Source organism: Homo sapiens, chromosome 21 (assembly GCF_000001405.40).
Source record: "Homo sapiens chromosome 21, GRCh38.p14 Primary Assembly".
Lineage (NCBI taxonomy): Eukaryota > Metazoa > Chordata > Mammalia > Primates > Hominidae > Homo > Homo sapiens.
In genome coordinates, this window is record NC_000021.9 from 10,482,361 (window position 1) to 10,508,989 (window position 26,629).

At 36.9% G+C, this 26,629-nt stretch overlaps 1 pseudogene across 2 annotated transcripts in view, besides 1 other annotated feature; it reads left to right on the forward strand.

Annotated features, from left to right (window-relative positions):
* BAGE2 (BAGE family member 2 (pseudogene)) overlaps positions 1-26,629 on the forward strand; it is a 104,778-nt pseudogene that overhangs the window by 68,864 nt on the left and 9,285 nt on the right. The window contains exons 7-11 of one of the 2 annotated variants that reach the window (NR_169269.1): positions 3,258-3,374; positions 8,886-8,987; positions 9,180-9,284; positions 17,115-17,180; positions 18,447-18,659. The product of NR_169269.1 is annotated as a BAGE family member 2 (pseudogene), transcript variant 1 (transcript). The remainder of the gene's footprint in view (positions 1-3,257; positions 3,375-8,885; positions 8,988-9,179; positions 9,285-17,114; positions 17,181-18,446; positions 18,660-26,629) is intronic. The other variant, NR_169270.1, reaches the window with a different exon arrangement.
* Positions 19,082-19,228: a silencer, noted in NCBI's record as "fragment chr21:11010869-11011015 (GRCh37/hg19 assembly coordinates)". NCBI's record gives its function as "represses an EF-1alpha promoter that drives an FKBP-Casp9 reporter gene in an ReSE screen in K562 erythroleukemia cells {active_cell/tissue: K562}" and the evidence as "EXISTENCE:reporter gene assay evidence [ECO:0000049][PMID:32094911]".

The following is a 26,629-nucleotide window of genomic DNA, read 5'->3' on the forward strand; positions in this document are numbered from 1 at the left end:
TAGAGTGATAGTTGTTAGAAGAAAAATAACCCCCCAATACTTTCTTCTAGTGTTAATTCTTAAAGTGTGATTGACTTTTATTTACTTTTTGGTGCAGTAATTGCAGTTCATGAGTCAATGTTGATGTCACATAAACCTTAATTTTTAATGTTTCATTGTAGTGATGTCTCTGTAGCAGCAAACATTTAAGTTATTTGTTATAGTTAAATGTTTAAATCACTGTTAGTGATTAGCTTATTTTGCCTTCCTTGAAGCAATTTGTCCTAAATTTCCATACGTTTGCATTTGTTTTTGCTGTCCTAAAATTCCTTAGTTGCTGGCTTTGACCTTTTATGTTGCTGAGTTTTACACATCTATTTTCTCAACTGCCATATCTTAGGAGGCTTGGAGTACCCATAATACAGTGAGCCCACCCTCGTGGTCCCCAGACATTTCAGGAGGTCGGGAAATTTTTAAACCCAGGCAGCTTCCTGGCAGTGCCATTTGGAGCATCAAAGTGGTACATAAAATTACATTTACATTCATATATCACTTCTGTCTGATTTGTTTTGCCCTACTGGATGTTAAGAATTAAATCTTTCTTTTCTAGATTGAGCTTCCAGAAACACTTTTTAAATCTAAAAATTTTAATGTAAAGAAATAATATGCTTGCATTTAAAAATCAAGTATACATTTTTAATACCTCTTTTTATGGTTAATTCCTTTTGTTGTGATTACTACTGGTTTTATGAGGGAGAAGTCCTTGACATGTAGACCAAAATGTAATTAAGGATCTTTTCATTCATGATACATAAAACTTTGTTGCTTAGAAAAAAGCAAAAGAAAAAACTCCATTAATTTATTATGTTCTCATGGACAAGAAATACCAAAATTGTGGCAGATTTCATTGTCTGTTTAATACCTTAAAATGACAAGGCTTTTTCCCCCATGACATTGGTTGATGGCTCTGCCAGTCCTTGAAGTGAGTTAAGTAGTGTGATGCATTTTGAAGAGAAAAAAAATTACTTTGAAAAAGTATTAACTCAAAAGTTAAAATACTTCATTGACCGGAGATGACAGTTCTTCTTCATATTCTATATTTAATATTCTGGAATATGGCTGTTTAATTTAGACTCATGAACGATTTTAAGGAATTCTAGATTATACTTTATTTTCTTTCATGACTGGAAGAACTATTTTTTTAACCTCCCTACCTCCCCCTGATATCATCCAAGATATTGAAGTATAAATATGCCTCATTTGACAGTTTGATAATATAGACCACCAGTTTTTACTTAATTTTTTTCTGGGTCAGCATTTCATGTTGGAGAAGATAAATTGAGAGACTACTGTAGTCTTGATTTTTAATCACTGACTTAATTTTTCAAAAATCTTTTATACCAATTTAATAACAAAACAAACTCGGCTGGGCGCAGTGGCTCATGCCTGTAATCCCAGCACTTTGAGAGGCTGAGGGGGCAGATCACTTGAGGTCAGGAGTTCGAGGCCAACCTGGCCAACATGGTGAAACCCCGTCTCTACTAAAAATACAAAGAAATTTAGCCACGCGTGGTGTCATGTGCCTGTAATCCCAGCTGCTAGGGAAGCTGAGGCAGGAGAATTGTTTGAACCCAGGAGACGGAGGTTGCAGTGAGCCAAGATCGCACCATCGCACTCCAGCCTGCGCAAAGAAGCGAGACTCTGTCTCAAAAACAAACAAAAAACCCAAAAAACTAACCTGACCCCATCCGTCCGTTGTGCAAAGAACCTGATGCACTTCTCTAAAGGGATCTCAAGGAGAGCAGGGTAAGAGAAGACAGGAGTGGCAGTTTGAAACTGGGAGCTGGCTGTATTTATTACATCCAAAGGGAGAAAAGCCATTCCTCCCATTCCTTTTGTTCATGTGTATCTATTTTATGTTTACAGTATCACCATAAATTTTTGACTTGGAAACCATTCTGCTAAATAGGGAATAAGTTCATTTCAAACTATGATAAGGGACATCAGTTGAAGATATGACATATTATTTAACTTATGGTGAGGGAAACACCTAAGTATTTTCCTGAGCATCTGGATAATTTTAAATATACATAATTCAACTACTTAGGTAGGTGCCAGGTTTTTTCAAGGAGTAATTAATTAGTACAAACAAGGGTGAGGGGGCAGGGAACACCATACTCTGGTACTTAATGTCTGAAATTATCAGGGAATTTAACACATTTTCCCATAGGTTTATTTCTTGTGTAAGAAGTCAGATAAATTATTTCCATTTCAAGTATTTATTATTCAGATTATTTAAAGCAAAGCTTTCACAAAGCCTTTTGTCAGCTTTCCTGTAATCCTCAAATAATTTTTCCTGGCTGGATGCTTTGGCTTACTCCCGTAATCCTGGCACTTTGGGAGGCAGAAGCAGGAGGATCACTTGAGCCCAAGAGTTCTAGGCTGCAGTGAGCTGTGATCACACCACTGCAGTCCAACCTGAGAGACAGATCAAGTTCTTGTCTCAAAAATAAAAGTAATAACAATAATAATAAATTTTCCTCTAAATACAACGGTGAATGAGGTAGAAATGTTGAGTTCATAAGAGAACTGTTGAATAGTGAAGGAAACTGACTTAATTCTAATGACAGGAAGAATACTGTCACACACTAGCAAAAATGAACTTTCATGCTGATGTAGCAGTACAGAATATGCTTCCAACCCAGGGACGCTGGAGCCAGGCTTGCTAGCTAAGTGACCTTGGACAAGTTACTTAACCATTTTATTCCTCAGCACACTCATCTCAAATGAGGATAATAAAACCTACTATATGGGATGGATGAGAGTAAAAAATACTTAGATTAGTACATAGTAAGTACTCAATAGATGTTAGCTATTACTGTAATCACCGTGAGACCAGTTAATGAGAGAGTTTTTCCTTATCCTTACTCTATATTGAATACAATTTGTTGCACTTCGAAATATCTGGATCAGGCTACAGTTGTTGTCGTCACCGAGAATGTAGGAGTGGGAAAGAGAAAAATCATGCAAAGTCTTGCTGATAGCGTTCACAGTGACAGGCCTAAAGTATGATTCTAAGGTTGTAAGCATTTTATATTTAGATTTTTAAGTTGTGGAGTATACTTTTAAAGATAAAAATAATAAGCCAGGTCTTTTAATACTTATCTAAAGAAGTGTTTGTATAACATTTAATAAAATGTTTTATCTCAGTGGCATTTGGATTTAAAAATTATTTTGGGCTGTCACAGAATGTTGACTTTTCCTAATCTGTTACATAGGGCCATGGGTCTGGATTTCCAAGAAAGCGGAGACCTCGAGGTGCAGGACTGTCGGGGCGAGGTGGCCGAGGCAGGTCAAAGCTGAAAAGTGGAATCGGAGCTGTTGTATTGCCTGGGGTGAGGCTTGCTTCATGTATATTTTCTCTAATCTAAATGTCAGTTAATGATGAAAATCTCATAGCAAGTTATTTTGATGAGTCATATAAATAGGTCAAAATGTTTATTTTACTGTCCTACTTTTTTTTGAGCCTCTGGTTACATTTTCTTGTATATTTACTTTCTCATCCTTTCTCTTTTCTTACCTTCCTCTTTGACTCCTTATCTTTCTATGCCAACCCTCTCTAAAAAGTCATTATGTAATATAGTTGCTCTTTTATTTAAAAAATTTTAAGATTGATAGATATTTGCTATCATGTTATGAAGCTTTATTTGTATGTGTATTACAAATACATTTGCTAACTACTAGCAAATATTTTATGTAATAACTTTGCTATTTTATTAAAATCCTGTTTTTAAAATTCTGAAATGTCATTTTAAGTATAGGAGACAGTGAAATTGTTCAAGTTTACCACTAAACCAGGAATAAGGAAACTTAGATTCTCGTCCTTTTTTCAAAAAGAAAAATTTTAAAACCAGGCTTATTGAGGTATAGTTGATATAAGCTATATTTGACTTGACATGTACAATTCCATCAGCTTTGATATATATATATATATATATATATACACCCTTGAAAATGATACCACAATCATGACAGTGAATATATTCATCTCCCAACGTTTCTTCATGTCCCTCTGTAATTTTCTGCATTCCCCCTGCCATCCGTCCTTGTCCCCAAGATTAGTTTGCATTTTCTAGAGTTGTATATAAGTGGAATCATACAGAACTGTATGCTTTTTGGACTGATTTATTTCAGCACAATTATTTGGAGATTCATCTATGCTGTTGTATTTGTTAACCGTGTACTCCCTTTTCTTGCTGTGTATTAATAAAACTGTGGATGCACCACGGCTGTAGACCTGTGCACTTTTTTTTCTTCTTTTTTTTTTTTTCTGAGACAGGTTCTCGTTCTAATTCGTGGCTGGAGTGCAGTGGTGCGATCATAGCTAACTCCAGCTTTGACCTCCCACCTCCGTCTCCCGAGTAGCTGGGACCATAAGTGTGTGCCACCACACCCAACTACTTTTTTAAAATTTTTAATAGAGACAGCATCTCACTATGTTGTCCAGGCTGGTCTCGAACTTCTGAGCTCAAGCAATTTTCCCACCTTGGCTTCCCAAAATGCTGGGATTACAGGCATCAGTCACCATGCCCCAGCCTGTAGTCTTACATTCTTGTAATGTCTTCGTCTGGTTTTGGTATCAGCATAACTCCAGCTTCATAGAATGAATCAGAAAGTATATTCTCCTCTTCAGTTTTCTGGAAAAGTTGTGTAGTAGTGGAAATGTATCTTCTTATATTATACATGAATTTATTAGTGAAACCATCTTGGCCTGAAATTTTCTTTGTGGGGGGTTTTTGTTGTGTTTTCTTTTTTTTTTCTTTCTTTCTTTTGAGATGGAGTTTCGCTCTTGTTGCCTAGGCTGGAGTGCAATGGCACAATCTCAGCTCATGCAACCACTGCCTCCCAGGCTCAAGTGATTCCCCTGCCTCAGCCCCCTGGGTAGCTGGGATTACAGGTTCCTGCCACCATGCCTAGATAATTTCTTTTTTTGTATTTTTAGTAGAGACAGTTTTTCACCATGTTGGCCAGGCTGGTCTCGAACTCCTGACCTCAGGTGATCCACCTGCCTTGGCCTCCTAAAGTGTTGGGATTACAGGCATGAGCCACCATGCCCAGGCTGGAGTGCAGTGGCGTGATCTCTGCTCACTACAGCCTCCACCTCCCAGGTTCAAGCAATTCTCCTGCCTCAGCCTTCTGAGTAGCTGGGATTACTGGCATGCACCAACATGCCTCGCTAATTTTTGTGTTTTGGGTAGAGATGGGGTTTTGCCATGTTGGCCAGGCTGGTCTTGAACTCCTGACTTCAGGTGATCCGTCTCCCAAAGTGCTGGGATTACTGGATGAGCCACCAGTGCCCAGCCTGTGGGACAGTTTTTAACAACAAATTTTATTTCTTTAATAGGTACCTATTTAGGTTATCTGTCTCTCCTTGCATAAATTTGCATCTTTCAAGAAATTTGTTCATTTTGTCTATCTTGACAAATTAAAGGAATGGAGTTGATCATAATGTTTCTTATTATTTTAATACCTGTAGAATCTGTAGTGATTTCACCTTCCTCATTCTTGATACTAATAATTTGTATCTTGTCTTATATTTTTCCTGATCAGTCTGGCTAGAGATTTATCAATCTTATTGATCTTCTTGAGTCAGCCTTTGTTTTCATGGACTTTTCTCTATTTTCTTTCCCCTTTCTGTTTTATTGATTTATATTCTCATCTTTATTTTTTCCTATCTTCTCACTTTGAGTTTAATTTGATCTTCTTTTTTTGTTTACTCTTACGTGTCCCTGCTTGGAAGGGACACTTGTGAAGTTTAGGTCAGAGCTTTCTGTTCTCCTTGGCTTATATCTGTGGTCTAGGAAAATGATATTTCTATCACCTTCTGGATAAATCACACTATTATCTATGCAGGCAACAATAGCACATATTTTCTCTACCTTTGCCCTCAAGTTAGGTTTTATTTTTCTAGCAGTCTAAAGGTCATGAAATAAATTATAAAATAAAAACAGTGGGTCTTCAAGCTAGATGATACTGTTTTCTTTCTTGCATGGACAATTATTTTAAAATATTTTGGTTTTTCTGCACTTATTATTTAAATATGACTCCCCACCCCCACTTGAATCTAGGGACATTGTAGTTTTCTACTGCAGACTTTATTTCTGGTTTATACTGGGAATATATTTTTTATCGTTTTCAGTGAAAGCATTCACTGGTTAAATTTCCTTTTAAAAATAATAATGGATCTTTACAATTTCTTTGAGCTGCTCAGTGTGTATAATGTGTTGAATTTTCTGTAAGTGGTTGGGAGGTAGAAATAGATACTTTATCTCTATTTTAGCCATTTCCATAATTATATATCTCAATAGTCTTGTCAATGCATCATTAGTCCTATGACTGAATTAATGATTACTTTTAGTAGTCACTTAATTTCTTACTGATGATGATGATTCTACTTCTGTGAATCATCTTGGATGATTCTCTAAAATCTTAGAAAGCTAATTTTGTTAATGCTATGCATATAACACATCAATACATTTTCTCTATTAAAAGAATTAAAGCGTTATAGGTAGATCAGAATTTACCATTACTAACTCCTCAGTCCTCCTTATTTCCCTGTTACCAGTTTGGTATATTTATATATTAGGTTGATCCATATGAAATTGCCAATATTATTTCTGAACTGATGAAAAGCAGCAATTTCTTATGAGTCAACCTATTATATGTGCCCATAGACTACATATAATGACGTTGCATGTTTTTATATTATAGTGCTATACCTCAAATACTGTTCTGCAATTTATTTTTTCACTCAACAGTGTCTTTTTGATAATTTCTTTCATGGCAGTCTATACAAGTTTCTACCTCCCTACTTTTAAAATGTTTCGTACTTTCCTAGTGTTTGGATTTGTCATTGCTTTACTTACTCCCTAATGATTAATATTGGCATTATTAACACTTGTAGTCATTAGGGTTCATATGACTATAAATTGCTCTTATAAAGCATTAGTACTATCCATTAAAACTGCTTTTAGGCTGGGCACGGTGGCTCATGCCTGTAATCCCAGCCCTTTGGGAGGCCGAGGTGGGCGGATCATGAGGTCAGGAGATCGAGACCATCCTGGCATCCTGGCCAACATGGTGAAACCCCATCTCTACTAAAAATACAAAAAATTAGCCGGGCATGGTGGCAGGCGCCTGTAGTCCCAGCTACTCGGGAGGCTGAGGCAGGAGAATGCCGTGAACCTGGGAGACAGAGCTTGCAGTGAGCCAAGATTGCACCATTGCACTCCAGCCTGGGTGACATAGGGAGAGACTGTCTCAAAAACAAACAAAAAAAAACCAAAAAAACTGCTTTTAAATGTATTTGTATTGAAAAATACCGAGATGTAGTCCTTCTATTTAGTTAACCAACCAAACTTCCTTCCTTTTTTTTTTTTTTTTTTTTGGGAGACAGGGTCTCGCTCTGTCACCCAGCCTGTAGTGGAGTGGCATAATCTTGGCTCACTGTAACCTCTGCCTCCTGGGTTCAAGTGATTCTCCTGCCTCAGCCTCCTGAGTAGCTGAGACTACAGGCGTGTGCCACCATGCTCGGCTGTTTTTTGTATTTTTGGTAGAGACAGGATTTCACCATGTTGCCCAGGCTGGTCTCGAACTCCTGAGCTCAAGCAATCCACCCACTTTAGCCTCCCAAAGTGCTAAGATTATAGGCATGAGCCACCACACCCAGCTGGTTAATCTTCTTTCAGTTGTTCCTCAAGAAAAGTAATTCAGTTGTGTTATGTTTTGACCTTGAACATAACCTGTTGTGTTTCAACTGTCTTTCCAGGCTTCGATTGTAAGCTTTTTAAAGAAAGAGGATTGTATTTTATGATTTTGGCAGTGCCCTCCTTGTCTTCTTCTACAACTTCTAGTTCAGAGCTTTATTTTGTTTCATAATCACTCTAGAAATTATTAACAAACCAGAGGGTACTTAGTTGATTTAATCAAATAGAACTAAGTCCAGACTGAACAATATTGGTTGATAATCATTTGGCTAATACTGAAATTTGGATGTTATTCAAAATAATATTCCAAAGCAGTGCTAATAGAAATATAATGAGAACCACATATGCAACTTAAAACTTCCTAGTAGCCACATTAATAAGTTACAATGAGCTGGGTGCAGTGGATCATTTGAGGTCAGGAGTTAAGAGACCAGCCTGACCAATATGGTGAAACCCCATCTCTACTAAAAATACAGAAATTAGCTGGGCATGGTGGTGGACAACTGTAATCCCAGCTACTTGGGAGGCTGAGGCAGGGAGAACAGCTTGAACCAGGAGGCAGAGGTTGCAATGAGCTGAGATCACGCTATTACACTCCAGCCTGGGCAACAAGAGTGAAACTCCTCTCGAAACAAAGGTTATAGTGAACAGGCAAAATTAATTTTAATGCCTTCCATTTTGACCGATATATCTAAAATATTACCATTTCAACATGTAATATGTAATTATGTGCTGTATTTTATGTTTGCAGGACATCTCAGTTCAGACTAACTACATTGCAGATCCCAAGTGTGTGTCATTAAAATAGTGATAGATTTGTGTGTGTACATACATATAATATTATCATTTATAGTTTCTTGATTAGAATTCTGCATAATCAAGTCTTACTAAGACAGGTTTATTATATTTTCTCATTACTTATTGGTCTATAGGAATTCTACCTCTAAAGAGAGAATTAGGTGAATAATAAAATGTCATGACTCCATTTTATAGTACTATCTTAGCATTAATATTTGGAATTGTTATTCTAGACCTTAGCAAAAATATATGTTTTGATTATGAATTTTCTGAAGCTTTCCAGTTAAGTGTAAAACAAGTGAAAAATATAACTTCGTATTTTGTGTATTTTGCTTTTTATAGGTGTCTACTGCAGATATTTCATCAAATAAGGATGATGAAGAAAACTCTATGCACACTACGGTTGTGTTGTTTTCTAGCAGTGACAAGTTCACTTTGAATCAGGTTTGAACTTGACAATTTACTGTCTTCCTCATTGAATTCCTCCTTGCACATTTCTGCTTTATCTCATCTACACAGAAGTGATCCAATATTTAGCTATAGAGCTATATTAGTTAAGAAGGTATTTTTAAAGTAAAATTTGTAGGTTTTTAGCTTAGTCTCCATTTAAAATATGTTCTGTTTTCTTAACTTCAGGATATGTGTGTAGTTTGTGGCAGTTTTGGCCAAGGAGCAGAAGGAAGACTACTTGCCTGTTCTCAGTGTGGTCAGTGTTACCATCCATACTGTGTCAGTATTAAGGTAAACATCCTTAAATTGAGTTAACAAATATGTACTGAATTTTTATTTGGTTTTAGTAGTAACATGAGCTCCCAGTTCTCACAATTAAGTATTATGATTATTAAACGTATGTGACAGTATTTAAGCACTTTAAATACTGCTTTTAAGGGTTTCCTATCTCAAGAAATTTGCTCCTCTATAAATCTTATATTGTACTAATATCCTGCTTTTGTCTTGAAAAAGTAAAACATAAAAATATATGCATTTAATTTAAAAGACAATTTATACTATTCACAAAGATTTTAGGTTTAGCTGATTCATTTTGTCTGTTGATTTAAAAAGCTGAGAACTGGAGTATTTAGTAAAAAATTATTAGCCTATTCTGTTCTTTACCGCATTCTCTCTCCTCTGTGCTCACTCATATACAAAATGACATTTTCTCCTTATAGCCAAAAGAAACAAAACAAGTGTCATATTTAATGCAATTGGTAATAATCGAGAGTCAGCACTGCTCACTTTCAAGCATTTCAGGATAGAGGCTTTCTGGGGAACCTTTTAAGTGGTATCGTGTGCTTGGTTTTAAATATGGACAGGTCTCAATACTTCACTAGTTGTATCTAAGGTTCTTGGTTTTTTCTTTTTAAGAACTCAGTCTTAATAAAACTTACATATTTGAATAAAGTGTCATGGCCACTGGAAGCAAGCATGGAGGTATAGCTGTACAGCAGAGGTCTTAAACTGTATACTCCACAAGGAAATCTTTTCTAGTATTGCCATACCATGTAATATAAATACTAACCTCAGTTTCAATAATAGGTTGTGAACCATGAGTGATTTTTATACCATTCTCCCCTGCCCTTCAGACATCACTGTGTTATATCATTGTCAGTAAAATGTCAGTATAGTAAGCAAATCAACATTATCTCCTTCAGACTTCTTTGTTGATAACTACACTAGTATTTATTTTATAGGGTAATACAGGTTTTTGTGAATTTAGGAATCAAAATGAAAGATTGTAATTAATACTATCCAAAATAGAAGACTAGTACGGTTAATTTATGTAGTTTTTTAAAATTAGTTGCTCATGGTATGTGACTGAAAAACACAGAGTATATAAAGCCAATTAAAAATGGAGTTATATATGCATAAAACATGTTTCTTTTCTTCTTTGTACTTTATATTCTGTATAAAAGTAGCTGCTATCATTAGATTTTGTTTTTTAGAATACTTAATGTTTTGGACCTAACGAAATTGAATAAGATCCCTTTCAAGGTAGTAATGTATTTCTTTTAACCCATCCAACAATTACCGAATTCCCATTTTACAGATGAGTACGACTTACATAAGTTAAGATTGGACAATTAGTGCACTATCAGACACCTAGTTATTCCTGTTTTTAAAAATTATGTGTGGTTCCTTTTACACGACACTGTTTTGGACAGTATAGAATACTGCAGTCTCATTGAGAAATACAGCAATATCTAGAAATATACTAGGGATATGTGAATTGGCTCAGCTTGCATTTTTATTGCAGGAGGCAATTGTTTGTGGATAAGTTTGATACCTTTGAAGCTTCTTTTTAAGCTTGCTGGGGCAAGTCTAGAAAGCCTTCACTCTAAGGTGGATATTTTCAAACTTTATGGTTTTAGAACCTTAACACTCTTTAAAATTACTGGGGACGCCATAGTTTTTGTTCATGAGGATTTTAACTATGGACTATTCAGCATTTTAGAAATTAAAACTAGGAACATTTTGTAACACAAGACTACAGAAGCACAACCTGTACAATGTCAATGTAATATTATGATACAACATGTAGCTTCTATAAACACCACTGTATCATTGTGAATAAATTAAAGTGAAAAAAGGCAAATTAAATCTTAGTATTATTTAAATTTGTTTTAACTTTACAGACCCACTGGGGTTCCCTAGTCCACATTTTGGTAGCTGCAGTCCTAGCATTAGTTTAACCCTATACTTAAGACTTGGCCTTTCTGGGATCACTACTGAATTCTACCCCCTGTTCACCAGTGTCTTTGTACTCTGACTGGTTGTGCTTCACTTGTCTTTGAGCCTTTTGCAAGCTCTGGTAATTGTGCAGCTTACAAATTCCCAGTAGATGTACTTTCCCCTGGTTGTGGGTCTTTGGGCTTCTAGAAGTACGGCTTGGTGTTCCACCAAAGACTTCAGGGGATCCTTTGTAGGTTTCTGGAGCTCTTAGTCCTTATTGCTTCTTCATTTTGAGTACTGTGTCCTGCAAATTCCACTGCCTCGCCTTCCCTAACCTCAGCGAGGCCATTGATTTTACTCTGCTGAGGTTCTCCCTCCCTGGGCAGCGTTCTGGAAAATGTTTCTAGGCAGAATATCATAGGACTCCCTGAGTGTTTCCTTCCTCTCAGAGACCACTGTCTCCTTTACTATGTGTTGTCCAATATCTGAAAACAGTTGTTTCATACACTTTGTCCAATTTTCTACTATCTTATGGGAGAACAGGCTGGTCCCATCTACTCCATTATCATTGAAGCATGTATCAGTATTAGATTATAAAACATATCTGTAACAACTTTGGACATGGTACCATGGATGGAATCCTGGATGACATCTTATTTGAAAAAACTTTTAAAACTAAGGCTAAACTGGTTCAATGGAAGAAAAAAATGATAGTACAACCCCAGTACCTAAGTTAAAAGGAAATTTCAAAGAGGGAGAAATTGTTGAAGCGTTGAAGTACCAGAAGTCAAGAAACACTAACACTAATGTTTCCATTAGATTTGAGAATAAGAAGGTCTTGACAAGCCTGGCTTAAGCAGTTATGAGTGGATGTGGGTGTAGAGACCAGACTGTAGTGTTTTGAAGAGTGAATATAAGTGGAGAAACTTGAGAGTTTGGTTGTAAAAGGGACCACAGGTATCTGTGAAGAAAACTTAGTAGGAATGAAGATAAATATTTTAAAAATTCTACCACTAAACACCTCAGATCTGTCTGCCACTTTGTCTTCAGGTCATTGTTTAAGCCAGGGTCAGGCAGACTGGCCCATAGACTAAATCTGGCCCATTTCCTGTGTTTGCAAATAAACTTTTATTGAAATATGGCCATGTTCTTTGTTTACATATATTTGTAGCGCTTTTTGCAATACACTGGCAGAGTTTTTATAAAGTTGCAACAGATCATATGGCCCTCAAAACTTTCTGTTTACTCTCTGGTCCTTTATTGAAAATATTTGCTGGCTACTGCTCTAAGCCACCCTGATCTTACCCCAGGCCATTTCCTTCATTTGGGCAAATAATATACTAACTTGGTAATCTAAGACAAATTCTTAAAAATCAATAAGCTAATCAAAATAATGAATATACATGTTTAAAAATCAAATGACATTAAAAGCCTTGTAATGGGCCGGGTGTGGTGCCTCACACCTGTCATCCCAGCACTTTGGGAGGCCGAGGCGGGTGGATCACTTGAGGGCAGGAGTTCAAGCCAGCCTGGCCAACACAGTAAAACCCCATCTCTACTAAAAATACAAAAATTAGCCGAGTGTGGTGGCTCATTCCTCTAGTCCTAGCTACTCAGGAGGCTGAGCCAGGAGAATTATTTGAACATGGGAGCCGGAGGTTGCAGTGAGCTGAGATCACACCACTGCACTCCAGCCCAGGCAACAGAGCAAGATTCCATCTCAAAAAAAAAAAAAAAAAGGCCTTGTAATGAACAACCAACTCTTGTCTTACTCTACCTCCACATCTGAGGCAATCACTTTTAATCTTTTCAGGTCTTTTTTCTTGTGGTTAATGCTATAGCTCTAAATAATCAACTGGTTTACTGCTTTATCAATGCTAGATTTTGTTGACTTTCTGCTATGAATAAATAAATTCTGATTTAGGTCTTAAAATACACCTCCTTCCTTCTCCCAATATAGTTGTATTACTATGTTTAGTTCAATTAATAAGGTGTTGGTTATGACTCAGTAAATGTTCACTGCAGATCTAAACAGTATACTATGAGTTTCTTTTGTCTTTCATGGAGTTTTTAATAACAAGAAAGTAATAGTGACTCTCCATTCGTTCTTTGTGTTTGCCTACTATAGAACTATCATATAAGATTATTTTTTAAAGTACTGTTTTTTTCTGGGAGAAGTCCTACCCTCCTTCTAGACATTCCCTTCTCCTGCTCTGATATGTGCCAGTGGCTTCTGGGTGTGTTGTTCTCATCCTTAAACTTCCCTGGCCTGATGTCCTTTGTTGGATCTGTTGATTTATAGATCCCAAGTCTTCCTTTTCTTTGTAATACATCTTCATTCTGTTCCGCATATCTCTAAGTAACTTTATTAGAAGGAGAATGAAGGAGCTGAATTTTGAATCTTCCTGTGTCTACAACGTATTCTGTCTTCACACATAGTTGCTTGTGTAGCTAGGTTGAGAATTGTACTTTGAAAAGTATTTTCCTGTAGAATTGGAAACTTATACTCTTCTAGCATCTGGAGTTGGGAAGTTTTGTGCCATTCTGATGGGTGTTCCTTTGAATTTAACTCTTTTATTTTCTTCTCTGGTAGCTTTTAGGCTTTCATGTACCTCATGATCTGAATTTTTATTCTGTACCCTCATTACTTGCTGTTTCATTATAATGTGGGCACTTGATTGGTTCTGTCTGAGGATCCTAGTCTTTTGAGATCTTTAAGAAGTTCCGCAATCTTAATATTACATGGTGTGGCTTCCTTCAGTTGTTTGTTAGGGATTTGGAGATTCCCAAATATTCTGCTAACTTATACCCTTGAGAGAGGGGAGAATAAACAGAGGGGTGAATGTGAACTTCAGAATTCCTAGCTTCATAGTCTAAATAGAAATCCTCTAAGATCATAAAATGTCCCTAAGAACTCATGCTTTACATTAATTTTTTTGGTATTTTTTCTATTGATTCTAAGCATGGAAATGTAGATGGAGATTTTGTTGATGTATTTTCAATTATGTATCAATAATAGTGAAGCTTACTTGATTTCTTTAAAATCTGGTCACTATATCTATAAATATAGTGGACATTAAATGTACAGCATAAGGTAATTATGTGGACTTTAAAAAGGCATTAAAATATGTGCCATTGTCTATTACTCTGCTCAGTAGGCTCCTAAAAGCGTGTATGAACATGCCCAACCCAGTATTGGGCCTCCGTAGGTGCTCAATAAATGTTAGTTGATTGCCCCTTTCTGCTTCTAGGTACATAAGCACCATATTAATTTATATAGTATATTTGATTATGTTAGGTTAATGCATAAATCACATGGATTGGTTGTTTCTTTTACAGATCACTAAAGTGGTTCTTAGCAAAGGTTGGAGGTGTCTTGAGTGCACTGTTTGTGAGGCCTGTGGGAAGGCAACTGACCCAGGAAGACTCCTGCTGTGTGATGATTGTGACATAAGTTATCACACCTACTGCCTAGACCCTCCATTGCAGACAGTTCCCAAAGGAGGCTGGAAGTGAAGTGCAAATGGTTCTCTAGGGTTTGTTTGCCTTGTTAGTCTTTCAAGTTCAGAGCTTTCTCATACCACTTTAGTTTTTAAAAATTAGCCATACCTATTTAATTGAATAATACACATATTCTATGATACATACCACTAAGCAGAAAAATTTTCACATACACATTAAATCATTTGCCCCATTATGTTCGTATGTAGCTTCCTGAATTACAGTTACTGAATAACTAAGAAAATAAAATGGAGACTTTTCGGGGGGATTTGGATTTCAGGTGTGTTTGGTGCAGACACTGTGGAGCAACATCTGCAGGTCTAAGATGTGAATGGCAGAACAATTACACACAGTGCGCTCCTTGTGCAAGCTTATCTTCCTGTCCAGTCTGCTATTGAAACTATAGAGAAGAAGATCTTATTCTGCAATGTAGACAATGTGATAGGTATTGTGCTGTTTTTTCATCTTTTTAAAGCTTTTCTCTTTGAAATGTAGCAAAAAAAAAAAAAAAAAGGAAAATAGCTTTTCCTTAATCACAAGTTTTAGGTACAGAACTTTTTGCCTTGTAGATTTTTAGTCACCTAGAATCTTACAGAATTGATTTCCTGTTTTGAATTCTCAACTCCAGACTAAAGTTTTGTTTTGTTTTGTTTTGTTTTGTTTTTAAATTTAGAGACAGAGTCTTGTTCTGTCGCCAGGCTGGAGTGCAGCAGCGCTATCTTGGCTCACTGCAAACTCCACCTCCACCTCCTGGGTTCAAGCGATTCTCCTGCCTCAGCCTCCGGAGTAGCTGGGACTACAGGTGCATGCCACCATGCCCAGCTAATTTTTGTATTTTTAGTAGAGACAGGGTTTCACCATGGTGGCCAGGATGGTCTCCATCTTTTGACCTTGTGATCTGCCCGCCTCAGCCTCCCAAAGTTTTATGATTATAGGCGTGAGCCACTGTGTCCACCCAAGACTAAAGATTTTTAATTTAGGCCTTTTTGAGGGTTTAGGAATCCCTTGAAATTAGATGGAGAATTATTGCCTTCATCTATGCCGTTTCTTATGAAGGGTTTCTGAATCTTTTAATTGATTATAAAAATATCTAACACTTTCTGTTCTCCTTAAACCACTTTCTCTTAAAGCTCTAGATACTAGATATCTAGGTATTAGATAGCACCTTCTGCCCTCCCTACGTAATTATGTGGAATTTCAAAATCAAGAATGTTTCCTTGCTTTCATTGGTATATTGTTGTACTCTTTAGAAGTTAAGCAGTGAACATATATTGATAGTATTATTTTATCAGTAGTACAGTATTCTTGGGACTCTGGCTACTAATTATCTGTTCCATTGCAAGACAACTTTTTACTTTATTTCCCAATTACCATTCAACATCGCTTTCCATGAGATATGTCTACTTCAAGTGAGATGCATTGCCTGGAGCCCATATATGCTAGCACTGCCATTTGCAGTTTTCTGAATACCTTTGTGTTTGCCCTAACTAGCTTCCTTGCTGTCTTTGAAATATTTAATATATGATGATAAAATAATTAGCTTCCTTATGTAATGTGCTTTGCTTCCTCTCTAATAGTTGTTCTCATTCCTTTTTATTTCCTCCTTAGCTCTATGAAAGTTTTTCTGTTACTAGGGATAGTTAGGAGAAAAGGGCAAGGTAGGAGGAGCATGTGAGGCTTAGGGCTTTTAAGTTTGAAGACTCAGTGTTACAGGTTTTAAAAGGTAGCAGTTCTCAGTATATTCCATTTTTAAAAAAAAATGTACAAATATGGTCTTTTTAGATGGATGCATGCAGTTCGTCAGAACTTAAATACTGAGGAAGAAGTGGAAAATGTAGCAGACATTGGTTTTGATTGTAACATGTGCAGACCCTATATGCCTGCATCTAATGGTAACAGAATAATTTAAACTGTGAGTCTGCACTCTTGTACCACTCTCTTGCACCTTACTGTCCATAACCAATGAATTAGCTTAGCTCTACTCTATTTTGTCTTTGTGAAACTTACTTTGACAAGTATTTTATGAAAAATATTATTGTTGGTTATACATGACTTATCACAACTTGTTATAAAACAATTTACATGAAACAATAAAAAGCATATACTTTAGATGTAAACTATAATTTTGCTTCCAAGGAACATGATCTTGTAGTTATTGACAATATGTCAAAATCCAATGTGTTGATTCTTTCTTAGCCAGGTTTTCCTCCATGACTTGAGTATTTCCTTCATCACTTCTTGTTTTGTTGTTGCTTTAAAAAGTGCTTTTAACTTTAGTGTTCAAACATTTATTTTAATAAAATGACTATAGAAACAGAAATTTTAATCATATATAAGTATGTAAATACACTTTACCTTTTCTGAAAAGAATTACCTGGATTTTTTTTTTTTTCATTTCAGTGCCTTCCTCAGACTGCTGTGGATCTTCACTTGTAGCACAAATTGTCACAAAAGTAAAAAAGCTAGGTAAAATTTGAAATGCTTTACTTAATTTAATTAATTTACTTTGCTTAATTTTTACATAATTGGCTTACCACTTCTAAAATCTGCTTCAATCATATGGGTGTTCTATCCAAATTCCATAATGTTGGTAATCATTTCCACAATGATATATAAAATGTCATCCAGCTTTACTGGGGCAGTATTCCTATAAATTTCAGCAAGTTGGCAATAAAAATAACAGCTCTTAGAATAACCATTAATGCCATACTTGCTTTGGTTTCATTGATATATTACTGTGCTTAATTATCAGTTAGCAGAAAATACGGCCTAGTTAGCAAGCAGATTTCTTTTAGAATTAATTCAATCTCTTAATTTTTTAAAATAATTAATAAGCCTAGTATGGTGATTAATATGATATTCTTATTAAACAGTCATTCTTTTGAATACTTGTATTTAATAGCACCTGATACAAAAACATTTGGATAGTACAGGAATTGTTCTAAGGAACAACAGTTTTGTATGTTTAAAATTAAATCTGCAGGATTTGTACTTATTTATTACTTCTCCCTGTTAGTAATTATGTTGATACTCTGATTTTTCCAGATGAGCTTCTGGAGTATTCTCTCTCCTCTTGTGTAAATAGATCCCTGCCTTTTGATCTTTTCCAGGAAAAAGCTCATAGTGGATTAGCTGAGCATTGCATTTATTTGCAGTGCTTCTAACTCTTTTTATTGGGACATGAAAAAAGAAATGCCAGGAAGACTTTTTTGAGACGGAGTCTCGCCCTGTCGCCCAGGCTGGAGTGCAGTGGCACGATCTTGGCTCACTGCAACCTCCGCCTCCCGGGTTCAAGCAATTCTCCTGCCTCAGCCTCCCGCATAGCTGGGATTACAGGTGCCCGCCACCACGCCCGGCTAATTTTTTGTATTTTTAGAAGAGACAGAGTTTCACTGTGTTAGCCAGGATGGTCTCGATCTCCTGACCTCGTGATCTGCCTGCCACCTCGGCCTCCCAGAGTGCTGGGATTACAGGCATGAGCCCCCGCACCCAGCCCAGGAAGACCATTTTTTAAAAACATGTAACATTTCTGCCTATAATCCAAGGAAGTTTGACCTATTGTTCCTAGTTTTTATTGGGTATCATGAAGTTAATTATTCATGCATTTCATAGATACATAATTGTTTTCTAGAACTACAGTCACATTCCCTTGATATGGGTATTTTGGAACAGTAATCAGTCAAATTTAAAATGAAAGTTTAAATTTGTATTCTTGGGATTTTGTAATTTTAGACCCACCCAAGACTTATACCCAGGATGATGTGTGTTTGATTGAATCAGGGATGACTCAGTTACAGAGCCTCACAGTTACAGTTCCAAGAAGAAAACTGTCAAAACCAAAACTGAAATTGAAGATTATAAATCAGAATAGCGTGGCCGTCCTTCAGACCCCTCCAGACATCCAATCAGAACATTCAAGGGATGGTGATATGGATGATAGTCGAGGTAATACTAATTTATTTTCCATGAAATTAGTGCAAGAATTACAGCATATAAAGTAACTTTTGAAATATGTGTATGATTTACCAAAGGGTAAATCACACTGACTTAGATAACCCCGATGTGACCCTTGCCATCTCCAAATGAGTGATCTTCTTAGACCTTGCCTTTTCGGGTTCTCTTCCTTTCACACATTTTAGAACAGACCTACCTTACAGAAATCTCAAGGAGCACCATATCTTTGAAGATCACAGGTGGGGAACTACAGAGGGCTTGACTTTAGTTTGCTAGATAATGACACAAACCTTCTCAGATACTGTGAGCTTGGATAATACCATGTTTAAGTTAAGGTAGTTGATGCATACATTCTAGAAATGGAAAAGCTGTCATTTAATATTACTTCAGGTATAACTTCATATTCACCAGTGTGCATCATAAAGTATTGGTTTAAAAACATTTTCTTAATCAAAGTAAATATAAGGTTTTTCCAGCTGAATTCTTTTTTTTTTTTTTTGGTTGGGAGACAGGGTCTTGCTCTGTTGCCCAGGTTAGAGTGCAGTGGCATGATCTTGGCTTACTACAACCTCTGCCTACTGGGTTCATGCGACCCTCCTACCTCAGCCTCCTGAGTAGCTGGGACCATGGATGCGGGCCACCACGCCTGGCTAATTTTTGTATTTTTTTGTAGAGATGGGGTTTTGCCATTTTGCCAAGACTGGTCTTGAACTCCTGGGCTCAAGCCATCTGCTCTGCTCAGCCTGCTGAATTCTTGAGATAGCAAAATATTTTAATAGTAACCTAAAATCCAATATGAGTTAAAGAGGATTACTGTAGGTTTGCTCATTTTTGGGGCGGTTATTTATTTTCAACTGATTCAGAAATGAAGCGATAATTATTTCTGTTCCATTACATTTTATTTCATAGTTTTTTTTTTTTTTAAGGGGCAGTGTCTTGTTACATTGCCCAGGCTGGTTTCCAACTCCTGGGCTCAAGTGATCCTCCTGCCTCAGCCTCTCAAGTAGCAGGTACTATAGGCATGCGCCACTGCAGCCGGCTTTGAGACAATAGAATTAATTGAATACCTACTGTATGTCAGATGTTGGAAATCATATCAGTGTACAAAGCAGGTAGAATTCTCTGCATAGAGTTTATATTTTAATGTTAGGTAACCCAACTCTTAAAAAAAATCAGTTAATTATAATGTGTTTGGCAAGGCCCATGGTAAATATAAAGTTTGATAAAGAGGAATTGCCTGGCCAGGCACAGTGGCTCATGCCTGTAATCTCAGCACTTTGGGAGGCCAAGGTAGGTAGATCACTTGAGGTCAGGAGTTCGAGACCAGACTGGCCAACATGGTGAAACCCGTTCTCTGCTAAAAATACAAAAATTAGCTGGGCTCAGTGGCATGCACCTGTAATCCCAGCTACTTGGGAGGCCAAGGCAGGAGAATTGCTTGAACCTGGGAGGTGGAGGTTAGAGTGAGCCGAGATTGCACCACTGCACTCCAGCGTGGGTGACAGAGAAAGACTCTGTCTCCAAAAAAAAAAGGAATTGGAAGTACAGATGGGTGTTTAGGGTCCATATGCACAGATTTTAAAGAGGTGAGTGAGTGAGCCACTTGATTACCTGAGAGAAGAGCATCCCAGACAGTGAGGAAGCCAGTGTAAAGGCTCTGGGTGAGAGTGTGCTGAGCATGTTTGAAGAGTGTTGTGGAGACCAACAGAGTGAGCAGAGGGGACAGTCAGAAGGTGAGAAGATTAGAGATGTGAGGACAAGAAGGACGGCTCAGTATATCTCACACAACCATAAGGTGGTGTGTCAGTAGTTTGTGCTTAATAGCAATGGAATGAGAGGCCATTGAATGTTCCTGAAAAGAAGAACACCATGATCTTATTTATATTTTAAGAGGAACACTCTCCTATGATATAAGTAGATGATTAGGTGCAAGAGTTATGACAGGTAGATCAGTGAGAAATAATGGTCCAGGTGAGAGGTAATAGTGGCTTTGAAAAGGTATGTCTTTTGTGGCCGGGCTTGGTGGCTCATGCCTGTAATCCCAGCACTTTGGGAGGCCAAGGTGGGTGGATCACCTGAGGTCAGGAGATGAAGACCATCCTGGCCAACATGGTGAAACCTCGTCTTTACTAAAAATACAAAAATTAGCTGGGCGTGGTGGCAGGCACCTGTAATCCCAGCTATTTGGGAGGCAGAGGCAGAGGATTGCTTGAACCCAGGAGGCAGAGGTTGCAGTGAGCCAAGATCGAGCCACTGCACTCCAGCCTGGTGACAGAGTGAGACTCCATCTCAAAAAATAAATAAATACATGAAAAAATATGTCTTTTGTATGTTCTTGATAATTTTTGTTTTGTAGTGTGTTTTGGGTCTATGTTGCTGGGAGAAACACTTTCTGATGCTTTTATGTAACTGATTTTCAGATACAGTTGAACAGGTAATTTGATTTGGGGGCTTGGAGTTTGCAAAGAAGTAGTCCATATACTTGGAGGAATTGATCAGATCAGCATTAACAAGAATTTCCACTTCTGAGGATGTTAAAAAATGTCTGAAAAAGGTTTCCATAGTCTCTTAAATTTGGGAAGTGCTTCATTTCACAAAATATGAAAGGTTTCTTGATAATAGTACACATTGTTTCCCAAATTATGTGATTATAATACCTTTTAAAAACAACACAGAAGACCTTGGAAGGTTTTCCTTGTGACTTACCACTTGTAAACACTGAGAAATGGTGATATGTTTCAATTTCATATTTTCTCATTGACTCGTATCAGGGTAAAAGAAAATCAGTTGAAAAATTACCCTTGCTTTTTTAAAATTTACGTGATAAAATAGCCCATCTGAATTTACTGAATTTGTCCTTATTTTTATTGAATATGAAAAAAGATTGTTTAGTGTGTTGGATGTTAAATGCTAAGACAATTTTAGAATTTAAGGAATTGAATATACTGTATCCTCATGTTCATTTGCATGCCAGGATCTCACATCCTTTGCAGAAGGAAAGGTACATTCCTAGGGATAAAATAAATGCATGTTTCTTGGACAACATTTTTGCTTTCTGTTTGCTAAATAAAAATCCTTTTTAAAAATTTAGTATTGCCACACTTTGCCATATTAAAAATGTTTTAGATTACTATATTATCCTGAAACTACATGGACACACACACCCCTAAAATAAGTTTTATGGTTTTTCATATGCCTGTACGGGAGAAAAAATAGGAAAAGAATACAATCATCATAAGTTCTTATTATTACATTATGCTGAGATTTCTAATAATGCTGCCATTTTCTGGGTATTTTGTATTAAACCTAAAATTTGTGATGTTTTAGACTGTTTCACTAACATGTTTTGATAACGTCTCAGTACCCTTGGGAAAGCATTATAAAGTAGTGGGCAACGATGAAACCTACTCTGGATGTTTTTAGGCAAATTTTTTAACTTCTCTGATGTTAGTGTTCTCATTTATAAAATAGGTGAACCAGGATGAGCCCATAGGATAGTTGTGCTGATGAGGTGCAAGGATGCATGCCAGGCACCCAGCACTGGCTCTTCCCAGACATGGAGTGCTCAGTAACCGTGAGCTATTAGAATACAAGTGCCCAACCAGTGCTTGAGCAATTGTGTTCTGTGTCCAACAGAACTCAACAAAATCCCACGTTTGTCTTTATATGTGAATTCAGTTCCTTTTGAGACAGTAAGAAATTATGCCTGTGTTGGGGTAACTGAACTTTCAGGAGGAGGGAATTGTCTGCCACAATTATTCTCTGAACTTAATGTTTCCATGTCTTTTTCTTCATTTTGGAAGTTGTGGAAAAATTATAATGAAAGAGTATATAAACGTTTTCCTCTGTATTATAGCATCTCTGACAGTTTCCTTTATTAAAAAGTATGTTACATTAGGGAGAGACTTGATGAATTTAAAATTAAAGTTTGAAAAGTGTTATTGACTATAAGTGATCTTCAGCTGTGCAGTTTTCAACTTGAGGTTGTCAGAATGTAATATTACACATTATATTACACACATCTATAGAATCCAAATTGTGATGTTCCTGGAGTATTGGAACAAAACCTATGACTTTTTGTTTCTATTGATTTTTAACTCTTCTAATAACCACTTCTTTAAGAAAAGTCATACATTATCACTTTGGTGTATCAGAAACAAATTCCTTACGCAATAAAAGCATACTTCTTTCTCATTCACCTACTGGGATCTAGAAACCCTGTTAATGCAAGAAAAAAATCCCAAACCTCAATAAAATAACACTCTGTTTGTCTGAAGTGTGGAAACACAACACATTTCCTCTCAACTGGTGGTCCCAGATCGACCATCACAGTGTATGGATGTGTTTGGAGGTGTAGGAATAGGACTGCACTGAGGCTCTAGAAGGCCAGCAGGTGGGGCAGACTGAATGGAGGGAGGGGACTGGCATTCAGTAACTACTGGAGCGTGGGAAGAGTGAGGTAGACTGTCCATCTGGTGAAGGTGGCTGCTTCCTTGAGGTTTGTTACTTTCTGTAATGTTAATTCCCTCAACTTTTAAAATTTGATTTTTAGACAAGTTATACATTCAAATGATTTAAAATTGGAAAATAATAAAAAGGTAAACAGTGAAGTCTCTCCCTTTCCCCTGCCTTCATGCCCCCAGTTTACATCTCCAGAAACCTCAGAGGTTTCTCGTGTAACCTTCCAGATGTATTTTATGCATGTACAAGGAAATGTGTGTGTATATATATATATATTTTGTGTGTGTGTGTGTATATATATTTTGTTCCTTTTGTCTTACTACTTTTTACTGTCCTTCATTTTTTTATGGCTGCAAATATTCCTTTGTATGGAAATATAAGCAATTTAATTTACCTGTTCTTTCCCCTGTTGATAGACCTTTGGGTTTCTTTAAATTTTTTTTTTTTTTTTTTTTTTTTTTTTTTTTTTTTGAGACAGAGTCTCGCTCTGTCGCCCAGTCTGGAGTGCAGTGGCACGATCTTCGCTCACTGCAAGCTCCGCCTCCCGGGTTCACGCCATTCTCCTGCCTCAGCCTCCCGAGTAGCTGGGACTACAGGCGCCCGCCACCACGCCCGGCTAATTTTTTTGTATTTTTAGTGAGACGGGGTTTCACCATGTTAGTCAGGATGGTCTCTATCTCCTGACCTCGTGATCTGCCCGCCTCGGCCTCCCAAAGTGCTGGGATTACAGGCGTGAGCCACCGCGCCCGACTTTCTTTCAATCTTTTACTGTGAATAGTACAATGAATCACCTGGTATATTTATAATGTTGTATGTAAGTGGGCCTGCAAAGGTGAATTCCTTGCTAAATCCAAAGACATAATGCATTTGAAACTGTTTTTGGCAGGTAGGATACAGTTTTTTTTTTTTTCATTTATTTTTATTATACATATCTGAGGTATACAACATGCTTTGTATACATAGTGAAATGATTACTATGGTCAAACAAATGTCTGTATCCTTCACCTTCCATAGTTACTCTCTGTGTGTGTACACCTAAAATCTCTTTCAGCAAATTTTCAGTACACAATATTATTAACTATGGTTCTCATGCTGTGTATTAATTTGATCTCTAGAATTATTCATCTTACCTAACTGCAGATTTGTACCCTCTGACCCACTTCTGCCCATCCTACCCATCCCCTACCTCCAGACCCTTGATAACCACCATTCTACTCTCTATACATTCAGTTTCTCACTCCCCTGCTTCCCATTCTGCTTCTTAAGTGAGATCATACAGTATTTTTCTGTGTCTGGCTTACTTTATTTAGCATACTTTCCTCCCAGTTCATCCATGTTGTCACAAATGGCAGTATCTCCTTTCTTAAAGCTAACTATTCCATTGTATAAAGTCCTCATTGTCATCAGTAAGTTCTTAGAAACTGTGGTTAAGAGGGGAAAAAAAAGTATGAAAAACTGATTTTTTTTTCATTTTGCATTATGCCAAAATTAGATTGAAGGAAACAGTGTTACTTGAGGACCTGCTGTATGTTCATTTAGCTTAACGTCTCAGTTCCCAAGAACCTATTGATGACATTAAGGGAGGACTTAATATATGTATATACAAACGTCACAATTTCTTTATCCATTCATCTGTCCTTGAATGGGTAAGTAAATTGTCCATTAGGACACTTAGTTTGTTTCCATATCTTGGCTATTGGGAGTAATGCCGCCATGAACGTGGGAGTGCAGATGTCTCTCTCAGATGCTGATTTTATTACCTTTGAATATATGCCCAACAGAGGCATTGTTGGATCTTATGGTAGTTGTATTTTTTTTAAGGAAACTCTATACTGTTTTCAATAATGGCTATACTAATTTACATTCCTATCAACCATGTACAAAGGTTTCATTTTCTACACATCCTCACCAACACTTATGTCTTTGCCTTTTTGTTAATAGTCATTCTAAGAGACACGAGATGATATCTATTGTGGTTTTAATTTTCATTTTCCTCATGATTATGATGTTGAGCATCTTTTCATATACCATTTGACCATTTGTGTGACTTTGGAAAAATGGCTATTCAGGTCCTTGCCTATTTTAAAATCCAGTTATTTGGGGTTTTTTTTTTTGCTACTGAGTTGTGTGAGTTCCTTATATGTTTTGGATTTTAATGCCTTATCAGATGTGTGGTTTGCCAATATTTTCCCCTAATCCCTGTGCTACCTTTTTACCCCGTTTGGTTTTTTTTTATTGCTATGCAGAAGCTTATTTGCTTGATGTAGTCCCACTTGCTTAATTTTGCTTTTGCTACCTGAGCTTTTGGTGTGATATCCAAAAAATCATTGTCAAGGAGGATATTAAGGAGTTTTTCTCCTATATTTCCTTCTAGGAGTTTTATGGTTTCAGGTGTTAGGTATTTAATCTATTTTGAGTTGCTTTTTATGTATGATGTGTAAGACAGGCATCAGGTCCAGTTTCATTCTTTTGCATATAGATATCTAGTTTTCTTACCACTACTTATTGAAGACACCATCTTTTCCCTATTGTATCTTATTGGACTTGTCAAAAATTAGCTCATAATATATGTTTGGGTTTGATAGTTTGATAACTATCACTTTGTAATATAAGTTGAAATCAGGTAGTGTGATACCTTCTACTTTGTTTTTCTTTCTCAAGATTCTTTTGGCTATTCAGGGTCTTTTATGATTTAATACAAATTTTAGAATTGTGTTTTCTATTTTTGTGAAAAATGCCTTTGGAAATTTGATAGGGATTGCATTGAATCTGTAGATCACTTTGGATAGTATGGACATTTTAACAATATTCTTCCAATCCACAAACTTGGGGATATCGTTATATTTATTTGTGTCTTTAGTTTTTTTCTGTTTTTTTGAGACAGAGTCACGCTGTGTTGCCCAGGCAGAAGTGCAGTGGTGTGATCTCAGCTCACTGCAACCTCCGCCGCCTCCTGGGTTCAAGCAATTCTGCTGCCTCAGCCCCCCAAGTAGCTGGGATTACAGGTGCCTGCCATCATGCCCGCCTGGCCAATTTTTGTATTTTTAGTAGAGACAGGGTTTCGCCATGTTGGCCAGGCTGGTCTTGAACTCCTGACTTCAGGTGATCTACCCGCCTTGGCCTCCCAAAATGCTGGGATTACAGGTGTGAGCCACCATGCCCGGCTGTGTGTCTTCAGTTTACTTTGTCAGTATTTTATAGTGTTTAGTATATAAAGTTTTCACTTCCTTCATTAAATTTGTTCCTCAGTGTTTTATTCTTTTTGATGTTATTTTAAGTGGAAATGTTTTCTTGATTTTTTTTCAGATCATTATTTGTATAAAGAAATGCATCTGATTTTTGTATATTGATTTTGTATCCTGCTACTTGACTGAATTCATTTATTCTAGTAACTGTGGAATTTTTAGGGGTTTCTACATACAGGATCATGTCATCTGCACACAGGGATAATTTTACCCCATTTTTTCTGCTGATGCCTTTTATTTCCTTTTCTTATGTGA